At 38.7% G+C, this 13,269-nt stretch overlaps 1 annotated feature.

Moving 5' to 3' along the window:
• Positions 3,677-3,840: a silencer, noted in NCBI's record as "fragment chr2:16519470-16519633 (GRCh37/hg19 assembly coordinates)". NCBI's record gives its function as "represses an EF-1alpha promoter that drives an FKBP-Casp9 reporter gene in an ReSE screen in HepG2 liver carcinoma cells {active_cell/tissue: HepG2}" and the evidence as "EXISTENCE:reporter gene assay evidence [ECO:0000049][PMID:32094911]".

Raw genomic sequence — 13,269 nt, forward strand, 5'->3', positions numbered from 1 at the left:
AGGCCCAGGGGACTGAACAGCACTCCAGGTTTCCATGCTTGCAGATGTCAGATGCCTACCAGAGACACAGTCTGGGGTGGCAGCATTATCTGGTCCACCTCCTACATCAGTCTTGAATGCTTTTTCTGAGGGAGAGGGAAGATTTGCTGCAACCCATCCTTGGACATCCAACAGAGGCTTTAGTGGAACCACGAGTTACAGATCAGGAGCAGTGACTATCAGTGCTATAAACTTTTTTCATAACCCTCCCAGAGATAGACGTACAGATGTGCCACCCAGATCCTTCAAGAAAAGACTCATTGCCAGTCATAAGGACCAAGGTCAACGGACAACCTTCAGCTATTTTTAAGTCTCCTGCAGCTGCAGAGAATGATACTTCATGTAAGGTGTCAGTACAGGTGCCTGATTTGGGGGCAGCCTGTATCAGGTGCCTGTGCAAGGCAAGAGGGGCACAAAAGCCCAGCCATTTCTCTCCAACATGGGAAGCTGTGAGGGATAATACACTCTCCAGAGAGCGTCTATTGGATAGTGGAGGCTTTGCTGGGCCTGCATTACAGTTAAACTTCTCCCTCTGCCCAGTCCTCCTCCTTCACAGGCATTGATCCCTAATAAACGTCTTGCTCTCCAAACTCCCTCTCAGTATCTGCTTCCAGAGGATCCAGCCTGGGGCACTGTATTTCTTGCTTTTTTCCCCCCTGTTTTCTGTAGGGATAAGATCCTATAAAATAAAGGAATGCTTATACTGGCTTTCAGGGATATTACCCAGAGTTGAGAATATTTTTTCCTGATTTGGCCCCTGTAGTCTTGGAGATTTGGGCTAGGAACCCTGGTACTGAATGACTTAGGATTTTCTCAGCAATAAGCAGTGTGGCTTTGTGTGGCTGCATCTCTGTGCAGAGCACACTGATATAGCAGAGAGCCAGGCTGTCAGCAGTGTTAGGAGTTAACTCTTAAAACTCAGACATTAAGCAGATTGTTTTGAGTAGAAGGCTCTGGGGACACAATCAGATTAATCTAGATAGCCCAGGCAATTGCTTCTGAGTGTATTGAATTAAGCTCAAAGACCAATTCAGGAAATGGCCTGGGTATTTGCATTACCAAAACAAACAAACAGACAAACAAAATAAACAAACAGTGTGATTCGCTTGGAGGGCAGCAGATCCCCAAGATGAAACTGAGCCTGAGGATCCCACAGCAAACTGTCCCAATAGACATAACCACAGACTGTAGGGCAGCCAGTATTGCAAAGTATCACTAGGCATATGGGCAGCAGGGGTGGTGCTGACCCAGAGAACTACCACCACCACAAAATGCCCAACACATGTGGCATGGGGGGAGCAGCCCCCAAAGTGACCCTGCACACCTCCACAAGACTCTCAGGGAATGCTCTTTGAGGAACTCTGGTTAGGATTCAGGATTCAACCATCTGCAGGAAATGAAATTTTGTATATGCCCAGGCATTTTACCAGGACAAGCTCATACCTTCTCCAGAACACGAGAAGGAAATGTCCTGGCTCAATATTTATATGAAGCTAATTGTTATTTTGGCTTCATCCAGGACTTAGAAAGATATCTCATAATTAAGGCTGAAGTGTCTCAGCTGCCACTGGCAGGACAGAGCTTCAGACCCAGCGGCAGAGGAAGTCTGTTAACTCAGAAACTGGCAAAACAGGAATTATTAGAAAACACACTGGCATCCAGTGATTAGAGGAGAGTGGACCCTAAATTGAAACCAGGAGACAAAAACCACTGTGGACTTTTTCTACAAACCACAGAGTAGGATGCAATTTCAGCTGAACTTAAACGAGCAAGACTTAAGAATGGAGGAAGATTAAAGATAACTCATTTAGAGACGTTCCAATGGTCCTGATTTGATACTTGATGGTCCATTAGAATTCTTGGAAAGTATAAAAGGAGAAATACATTGTTGCCAATTACCAAAGGGTCATCAGGCAAACACCTTCTGGCCTGCCTTCCTGGTGGCCATTCCCAGTGTACATCTCAGTTTTCTCAAAGACTCTTCTTAGAAACACAGGATGCTAAAAGGAGTGGAGCCTTAAAGATGCATCTAGGCATGGGATGCCATAGATGAGGAAACTAAAATCTAAAGGGAATGGGACTTGTCATCCCTGGTGCCATGCAGGGCCCAGGCTTCCTACCTTCTAACCCATACTCTTCCTGCAGAACCACGCTGACTTGCAATACTTATGCTTGGGATTTTCAAGAAGCCAGGCAGAGAGAATCTCATTATGTACCTAAAGCTTCTCTGGTGCTGCAAAGCACTGTTCAAAAGCTTAGGTCTTGTTGAGCTCATGAAGCAGTATCTGTGGCCTCTTCTGCACTCTCCATACTTGGCAGCCACACCAAACTTCATCAGAGAAAGATCCCCAGCCAGAGAGGGCATCTGTAGAGTGCAACTTGCTTGATTTTCAATATTGATAAAATAGGTCTGCTTGGTCATTTGGGGAAAGCACAACAGAAGGGAAGAGGAGAGAGCACCTCTGCACACCCAAGAGCAAACTACGGGGTGGGGTCTGGGTGCCGGGAGTGGGATAAGAGGTCAGGGGCAGCTTAACCTGTCCTCCTGTCTGCTTTACTAATCTCCTCTGGACAGCTCTGATCTCACCTTGCCATGGAGCTGTAAGTATGTTAGCGGGGAGCGCACAATGGATGTCAGAGATAGACACAAGCATTAAGGAGTCGGCTGTCAACAGGCTCAAAAGAATTAGTGGGGGCCTGTGTTAGGGGCTGACTGCGATGGGTAAGGGGCAGTTTGGAAAACGGTTCTCTCCACTCGCTATCTTCCAACAGTTATCAGTTGCTTTACAAATCATAGTCATGCCCCACATGAGGATATTTCCATCAACGATGGACCACTTATATAATGGTGGTCCCATAAGATTATAATAGAGCTGAAAAATTCTTATTCCCTGTTCCCACCACGTCATTGTGCAATTACTTTATTTTTCTCATAAATTTAGTGTAGCCTAAGTGTACTGTGTTTATAAAGTCTATACAGTAATATCTTAGGCCTTCACATTCACTCACCCCTCACTCATTGACTCACCCAGACCAACTTTCAGTCCTGCAAACTCTATTCGTGGTAAGCGCCCTATATAAATGTACCATTAAAAAAAAATCTTTTGTACTATATTTTACTGTACCTTTCCCATGTTCAGATATGTTTAGGTACACAAATAATTACCATAATGTTATAATTGCCTACCGTACTCAGTACAGTAACATGCTGTCCAGGCTTGTAGCCTAGGAGCAATAGGCTATACCACATAGCCTAGGTTCATAGTAGGCTACACCATCCTAGGTTTGTGTAAGTGTGATGTTTGCACAACAATGAAATCATCTAACGATGCATTTATCAGACCATATTCCTGTTGTTAAGCAACACATGACTGTAGGAGGTTCATCCTCAAAGACTGAAACTTGAGTACCTGAGCACACCATCCAGGGGGGTGGGTATCACCCAATCTAGCCTACCACTGTTGACACCTGAGCAGTCCTTCTGGTATTTGAGGTTGAACCCCCTGAACCTGTTACTACCACCACAGCTGCCACTCATCTGCATGTGCCACCTGCAGACCTGGGGACTGGCCCATCCAGCCCATTGTAGCCATCATCAAAAACAGCAGGGATCTCTTGGGTCCCAAAGATTGTCCCACCACTGCTACTGTGATTGCCCATGCCACACCTGCTGCCCAGGGGCTCAATAATCCACCTGCCCAGCCCACCACTGTCATTCCTGGCACCTGAGCAAGCCACCTTGAAGGCCAATAATCAGACTTCCTGGACTGGCTAACACATGCCAGCATATACAACCCTGGTGCCCAAGGATAGGCATGCTCAGCCTGCTGCTGCCATCAATGGGCCCTGAAGACTGGCCCACATGGTGTCTCAGTCCCCAGCAGAACTTCACCACTGCCTCCACTAACAACTGCACCCTAAGCCACTGAGGAAATCACAGATACCACTGATGCTGTTTTTAGCCAAAGAAATCATACAGAGACTACACTACTGCACAATCCCAGAATCAAAGCCAAAGTACCATACTCAACCAACTCCACAGATACATCTTCAGGAAAATGTCCTTCCCCAAAAAATCAAATTAAAAAATTGGAAGAAGAGACTGTTATGCTAGATGTGCAGATATCAACATAAGGACACAGGAAACATAAAAAAACAAGGAACTATGACACCTCCAAAGGAACACAAGAATTCTCTAGCAACAGATAACAATCAAAAAGAAATTTATGAAATCTGAAAAGCAATACAAAAAAGTCAGAAAAGCAATTCATGATATGAATGAGAAATTTACCAAAGAGATAGATATTATAAAAAATAACCAAATAGAAATTCTGTACATAAAAAATTAATTAATTTAAATACAAAATACATTCAAGAGCTGCAACAATAGACTAGATCAAGCAGAAGAAAGAATCTTAGAACTAGAAGATAGGTTTTTTGCAAAATCCAGTCAGATAAAAATGAGTACATAAGAATGAGCAAAGCTTAAATTTATATATGGGACACTGTAAAATGACCACATATTTGAATTTTTGGCCCAGAAGACAAAAAGAAAATGAAAGGGTAAGAAAACATATTTAATGAAACAATACATGAAAACTTCCCAAGTTTATTTAAAAATTAGACATCTGGATACAGGAGGCACAAAGATTCTCAAATAAATACAATTCAAAAAAATCTCCTCCATGGCACATTATGGTCAAACTGTCAAGTCGAAGACAAAGTAAATTTTTACAAACAGCAAAAGAAAAGCCCCTAGCAACTTATAAAGGAACCCCCATGAGACTAACAGCAGATATCTCAGCAGAAAACACAGGCAGCAGAGGATGGGATGATATATTAAAAGTGCTGAAAAAAAGAAAAAAACCCTGGCAACCCAGGATACTATACTCAGCAAAGTTATCTTTTATAAGGGAATGATAAATAATTTTTTTATTCTCTAAGCAAAAGCTGAGGAAAATCATTACCACTAGACTGACCTTACCAGAAATACTTAATTGAGTGCTACACTTGGAAGTGAAAGAACAATAACTACCATCATGAAGACATGAAAATATAAAAACCACTGGCACAACAAGCTCATAAACAAGTAAGAGAAAAAACTAAAATATTACCACTACAGAACACTACCAAACCACAATGATAAACAATATGAGAGAAAGAGAGAGGAACAAAAGATATACAAAATAACCAGAAATTACTTAATAAAATGACAGAAATAAGCCCTCACATATCAGCAATAACCATGAATGTAAACTGATTAAACTTTGCACTTAAAAGATATAGACTGATTAAATGGATTAAAAAACATGACCCAACTATATGTTATCTACAAGAAACTCATCTCACCTGTAAAGACACATATGTATTGAAAGTTAAGGGATAGATAATGATATTCCATTCAAATGGAGACTAAAAGTGAGTAGGAGTAACTATATTTTTATCAGATAAAACAGACTTTAAGTCAAAAAGCAGTAAAAAGAGATAAAGAAGGTCATTATATAATGATAAAAGGATGAATTCAGCAAGAGGATATAACAGTTCTAAACATAGATGCACCCAACATCAGAGTGCTGAGATATGTGAAACAAATATTATTAGATCCAAAGAGAGAGATAGACTCTAATGCAATAATAGTTGAGGACTTTACCATCCCACTTTCAGTATTAGGCAGATCATCTAGACAAAAATTCAACAAACTTCAGATTTAAACTGCACGTTAGACCAAATGGATCTAAAAGACATTTACATAACATTTCATTCAATGGCTACAGAATACATATTCTCATCAACACACAAAACATTCTCCAGAATAGACCGTATGTTAGAATACAAAGCAAGTCTTAACAAAATTTTAAAAACTCAAAGTCATACCAAGTATCTTCTGAGACTACAATGGAATAAAACTGAAAATCAATACAAAAGGAACTTTAGAAAAAGTACAAATACATAGAAATTAAACAACATGCTTTTGAATGACCATTGGGTTACGAAGTAAACTAAGGAGGATATATTAGGTGAGTGCAAAAGTAATTGCAATTTTTGCATTGTTGGAATTTGCTATTTGATATTGGAATACATTCTTAAATAAATTTGGTTGTATTATACATCATTTTAATGGGTACTTCTTGCTTTATGTTTTTTTGCTAGTGACTTATTACTTGCTGTTTATTTTATGTTTATTTTAAACCCTGGAAATAATGTTAGGCAAAAAGTAAATTTGAATGATTTTTTTATTCAGTTCAAAATGGGTTGTAAAGCAGTGGCGACAACTCACAACATTAACAACACATTTTGCCCACTATCTGCTAATGAAATACAGTGCAGTAATGGTTCAAGACGTTTTTCAAAGGAGATGAGAGACTTGAAGATGAAAAGCACAGCGGCAGACACTGGAAGTTGACAATGACCAATTGAGAGCAATCGTAGAAGATAATCATCTTACAACTACACGAGAAGTTGCCAAAGAACTCAACATCAACCATTCTATGGTCATTTGGCATTTGAAGCAAATTTGAAAGGTGAGAAAGCTCCATAAATGGTTGCCTCATGAACTGACTGAAGATTTTAAAAATCTTTATTTTGAAGTGCTGTCTTCTCTTGTTCCGTACAACAACAATGAACCATTTCTTGATCGGATTGTGATGTGCGATGAAAAGTGGCTTTTATACGGTAACTGGCTATGACCAACTCAGTGGTTAGACTGAGAAGAAGCTCCAAAACACTTCCCAAAGCCAAATTTGCACCAGAAAAAGTAATGGTCCCTGTTTGGTGGTCTGCTGCCAGTCTGATCCACTACAGCTTTCTGAATCCCAGTGAAACAATTACATCTGAGAAGTATGCTCAGCAAATCAATGAGATGCACTGAAAATTGCAATGCCTGCAGCCTGCATTGGTTAACAGAAATGGCCCAACTCTCCACAACAACACTTGACAGCACGTTGCACAACCAATGCTTCAAAAGTTGAACAAATTAGGCTACAAAGTTTTGCCTCATCTGCCATATTCCCCTGACCTCTCACCAATCAACAACCCCTTCTTCAAGCATCCTAATGACTTTTTGCAAATAAAATGCTTCCACAACCAGCAGAATGCAGAAAATGCTTCCCAAGAGTTCATCGAATCCTGAAGCATGCATTTTTATGCTACAGGAAGGAACAAACTTATTTATTGTTTGCAAAAACGTGTTGATTGTAATGGTTCCTATTTTCTTTAATAAAGATGTGTTTGAGCCTAGTTATAATGATTTAAAATTCACAGTTCGAAACTGCAATTACTTTTGCACCAATGTTGAAAACCTTTTTTGAAACAAATGAAAACCACAACATAGCATATCAAAATGTATGGGATATAGCAAAAATAATCCCAAGAGAGAATTTTATAGCAATAAATGGCAACATAAAAAAAGTGGAAATATTTCAAGTAAATAAACCGTCAACAATGCACCGAAGGGCCTAGCAAAGCAAGAAGATACCAAACCCAAAATTAATAGAAGGAACAACAACAACAAAAAGATCAGAGCAGAACTTGAAGAAATAGAGACTATAAAACAATCTAAACGAAACCATCAACAAAACGAAAAGCTGCCTTCTTAAAAATATAAACAAAGCTGATAAACCACTTGGTAGACTAACCAAAGAGAGAAAAGACCCAAGTAAACAAAATCAGAAATAAAAATGGAGACATTGCAATGATACCACAGAAATACAAATGATGATCAGAGACTGTCACAAACAAATGCATGTGCACAACCTAGAAAACCTAAAGGAAATAGATAAAGTCCTGGACACATACAATCTACCAAGATTGAATTGGGAAGAAATAGGAAATCTGAACAGACCAATAACAAATAATGAGATTGAATCTGTAATAAAAAGTCTCCCCCAAAAGTAAAATGCAGGACCAGATGACTTAGCTGCTAAATCCTACCAAACTTTCAAAGAAGAAATAATACGAATTGTCCTCAAACTATTCTAAAAAATGAAAGAGGACGTAATTCTCCCTTTTACTCATTCTATAAGACCACCATTGCCCTAACACCCAAACCAGACAGGAATGCAATGACAAGAAAAAAACTGCAGGCCATTATCCCTAATGAACATAGATGCAACAATTCTCAAGAATTGAGCACACTGAATCCAACAGCACATCAAAAAATATATATATATATATACATATATATGCCATGATCAAGTGGAATTTTCTCCAGGGTTGCAAGGATGGTTCAACATAGGGAAATAAATGTGATACATCACATCAACAGAATGAAGGACAAAAACCATATGACCCTCTCAAAAGATGTAGAAAAAGTATTTGATAAAATTCAACATCGCTTTGTGATAAAAACCGTAAACAAATGGGGCATAGAAGGTAAATACCTCAAAACAAAAAGGCCATATATGGCAAATCCAAAGCTAACAAAACATCATACTGTATGGCCCACTTTTGTGACTCCTAGTCAACATAGTACTGGAAGTCCTAGCCAGAGCAATCAGGCAAGAGAAAGAAATAAAAGGCAAGGCATCCAAACTGGAAAAGCAATCAAATTGTACCTCTTTGTTGACGATATGATCCTATAGCTAGAAAAAAACTAAAGACTCCACCAAACAACTCTTAGGTCTGATAAATAAATTCAGTAAACTTGCAGGATACAAATCAACATACAAAAATTAGTAGCATTTCTGTACATTCATACTGAACTGAGAAAGGAATGCCGAGGGCAATTGCATTTCCAATAGCTACAAAAATAAAATAAAATGCCTAGGAATAAATTTAACCAAGGGTGTAAAACATCTCTACATGAAAAATAACAAAACGTGAATGAAAGAAATTGTAGAGGACATAAACAAATAAAAAGACATCCCCTGCTCATGTATCAGAAGAATTAATATTATTAAAATGGCCATACTGCCCGAAGCAATCTACAGATTCAGTGGAATTCTTATCAAAATACCAATGTCATTTTTTACATGAAATAGAAAAAATAATCCCAAAATAAGTATGGAATCAAAAAAGTGCTCAAATAGCCAAAGCAATTCTGAACAAGAGAGAACAAAGCTGGAGGCATCACACTATCCAAAATATACTACAAGGCAAAACAGAATGGTATTGGTATGAAAACAGACACACAGATCAATGGACAGAATAGAGAATCTAGAAATAATTCCATGCATCTATAGCTGACTGCTTTTTGATAAAGGTGTCAAGAACATATACTGGGGTAAAGACACACTCTTCAATAATAGCTCTGGAAAAATTGAATGTCCGTATGCAGAAGAATGAGACTGGATCCCTATCTCTCACCATAAACAAAAATCAACTAAAGATGGATTAAAGACTTAGTAAGATCTGAAACTATAAAACTACTAGAAGAGAACATAGAGAAAACAATTCAGGACAATGGTTTAGACAAAGATTTTATGACTAAGACCTTGAAAGCACAGACAATGAAAACAAAAATAGGCAAATGGAAGTCTGTTAAATTAGAAGTCTTCTTTGCAACAAAGAAAACAATCAGTAGAATGATGAAAAACTTGTTGAATGGGAGAAAATATCTGCAAATCATTCACCTAACAAGAGACTAATATCCAGAATACCACTCAATAGTATAGAAACAAGTAATTCCATTAAAAAGTGGGCAAAGGACATTAATAGACATTTTTCAAAAGAAGACATACAAATGGCTAACATGTATATGAAATAATTCTCAACATAATTATCAGGGAAATGCAAATCAAAACCACAATGAGATATCATCTTACTCTGGTTAGAATGGCTATTACTAATAAGAAAAAAAATTACAGATTTTGATGAGGATACAGAGAAAAGGGATCTCCTATGCACTGTTGATGGGAATATAAATTAGTACAACCATTATGGAAAACAAAATAGAGATTTCTCAAAAACTAAAAATAGAACTACCAAATGATGCAGCAATACCACTACTGGGATTTCCAAAGGAAAATAAATCAGCATATCAAAGGGATATCTGCACTTGCATGTTTATTGTAGGACTATTCACAATAGCAAAAATATGAATCAAACTGAATGTTCATCAATGGATGAATTACTAAAGAAAATTTGACATATATACACAATGAAATATTATTTGGGCATAAAAAAGAATGAAATCCTGTCATTTACAGGAACTGGAGGTTATTGTGGTAAGTGGAATAAGCCAGACATAGAAAGACAAATTTCACACGTTATCACTCACATGTGGGAGCTAGAAAACTTGATCTCATGAAGGTAGAGAATAGAATGATAAATATCAGAAGCTGCAAATGGTGTGTGGGTGAGCGGGGGAATGAAGAGAGGTTGGCCAATAGGCACAAACATACAGACAGATAGAAGGTATAAGTTCTAATGTTTGATAGCAGAATAGGGTGTCTATAGTTAACAACAATGCATTGTATAGTTCAAGTAGCTCTTAGAAGAGAGAACTTGATATGTTCCCAACATCTAGAAATTATAATCAATGTAATACATACCATAATACCCTGACCTGATCATTATGCATGCATTCTATCTAACAAAATATCACATGTACCCCATAAATATTTAAAATACTATGTAGCAATAAACATTTTTTTAAATAAAAAAGATTAAATATTGTTTTAGAGATTGCACAAAAGCACAGCTTCTAGACTACAGCTCTGTGGCTTCTCAGACCACCATTCTCATTAAGATACAGAGGGTCAACCAGGCACAGTGGCTCACGCTTGTAATCCCAGCACTTCGGGAGGCTGAGGCAGGTGGATCTCTTGAGGTCAATAAGATCGAGACCATCCTGGCCAACATGGAGAAAACCCATCCACACTAAAAATACAAAAATCAGCTGGGGGTGGTGGTGCGTGCCTGTATCTCAGCTACTTGGGGGGCTGAGGCAGGAGAATTGCTTGAATCCGGGAGGTGGAGGTTGCAGTGAGCCAAGATCGTGCCACTGGACTCCAGCCTGGTGACAGTGAGACTCTGTGTCGAAAAAAAAAAAAAAAAAAAAGATACAGAGGGTCTTAACGACGACCTCAAATGCAAAGATGGCTTCTGCCTACTGATTTCATCACATTGACACTTTGCCTGTATGTACCGACTAGTTGGTAGCTTAAATGTTTCTTTGCTATGCAAATCTGATCAGGCCAGAAGGAGGCTACAGCTGATCAAAATGTTGAAAGTTTATCAAAGCTGAAATGTACAAGACAGTAGTGACACTGAGCTCTCCAATTATTTTTAAGAATGGGGCACCAAAATGTTCATTGGTAGCTGTTGGTGTTTGTATGGGGAGCATAAGGCTTATCAACTTGGGTTGCTCTTAGAGTGCAACTCTTGTTGAGTTTTATGTTGCAGGAACCCTTCATGTCAGTGCCTCTAGGTTTATTCTTGGACTGGTCAGCTTCCCCAAAGGAGGCTCTTCCAAACTCCTGCTAAGCTTTGTAAGTGTGGCTTCCCTTTCTGAGGCTAAGTGAGAGAAGAGAGCTGAATGGTGGTAGGGTTAGGGGTGGGGGTTCAACTTTTTCTTCTTCTCAGCTATACTTCTCTTCATATGCCAAGAGAGCCTCTGTTTTGCAATCAACAGAGAATAAGTCTTTATTCTTCTGCCGAAGTGAAGGAAGAAATCTAGGGTTTTACAGCATCAAATATAATTTTAATTGATTCTCCTGTTTTTAACTTCACCTGTATCTCCACTTTTAGATGTATATAGAGCCACAAATTCCAGAACCTTTTGAGATTTCTTCTGTTTCTGGAAGCTTTCTCCAACACTGGCTTAGGATACAGCTTTCTGGACTCAGCCAAGCCACTAATCCACGGTCCTACTGCTCCATAGCTGTCAAAATTTTGTTGCAATTGTCCTTTTCACCGATTGTTCTTGTTCTTGTAAAAAAATCAGTTTATTGACACATTACTGGAGTTTCTGGAAGGAGCTGAAGGTAGTGTATATGCTCAGTCTACCATCTTGAATGGAAGTGTTAGAATTATTTCTTTGTCTCTTCAGCATTGTATGAATCTCTAGTCATAACACTGATAACTCAAACCTAGAGCAAACCAAAGTAGTTTGCATAATCTTCAGAATCTCTTTTGACTTTTATTCTCCTCTTTTTCTCAGTGATCACTCTCTGTCCTGAATAATTAGTTGACTCATCAAACCATATCTAGGTTTGTGGGTCACAAAACTAGATACTCATGGATCCAGAAAAAGGAAGTGAGGACAAGCATTCCAAGTAGGAAGGTGGGGTTGACACAAACAGAGGCAGGGGCAAACATTGCATGTTTGGTGAACACAGTGATCAACGTGACAGGAATATGGGTATGTGTATCAGCCGGATGAGATGTGTCTGGATAAGGAAGTCACAGCTTGCCACACATTCTTTTCACTCTCCACCTCTCCACTTCAACAGGGCTGCCCCACTTGTAGGCTTCTAACAAGGTCAGTCTATTTTACGGTTTTGTATTTTCCTCCTCCCATTCCTTTTGCTTGGAATGCAAAGTCTCTGCTTTGTATATTTGGAAAACTCTGCTTTTTAAAGATTCAGCTCAAAAAGTATCTACTCCATGAAGAGTTTTATATACCTTGCATCTTATTCCCTTATTTGGGACACTGTCTGGTCTCTTTGCAATCTCATGGTTACCTACACAGCCTCCTATTAATGAGATAAATAATATTAGATGTTTTTCTGAAGGGCAAGGATGGTGTGTTATTCCTCTGATATTCCCAAGCACCTAGCACATGGTGGGTAGTCAGTAACTTGTGTTAACTTAGAGAATAATTTATGTTAAATGGGTTATTTGTTTGCTCATTTATTCCTTTAGTTTTTGATTCATTGAGGCATTTGATATTGATTGAGGCTGTCAATGATCAGGCCAATTTAGTAAAAACTGTTACTCAGTGGGGCAAAAGTTCTCTGAGCCCAGTGGTTAAAAAAGGTATTCTGGGGAAAGAAGACTTAGGTCATGAAGAACGAGAAAGTTGTAAACAACTCAAGGAGAGCCTATCTTCATATTCTCCCCTTAAGAGACTCATAGTCTTAGAGAAAAATAAGATGTAAGTCCCATGACTCTGAAAATTGAGTAAAGTAAAATGTGATGTGTAGTTTAAGAGGAGTTTAAATTACTATGGGAATACAAAAAGTAGGGAGGCCCCACACGCGGGGATTTCTAGGGATTTAATGAAAGAAAGACTAAATGGGTGTTATCTCCCTCCATCCATGTCAATCTGCAAAACATACACTCAACTTG

Source organism: Homo sapiens, chromosome 2, assembly GCF_000001405.40.
Source record: "Homo sapiens chromosome 2, GRCh38.p14 Primary Assembly".
Classification (NCBI taxonomy): Eukaryota; Metazoa; Chordata; class Mammalia; order Primates; family Hominidae; genus Homo; species Homo sapiens.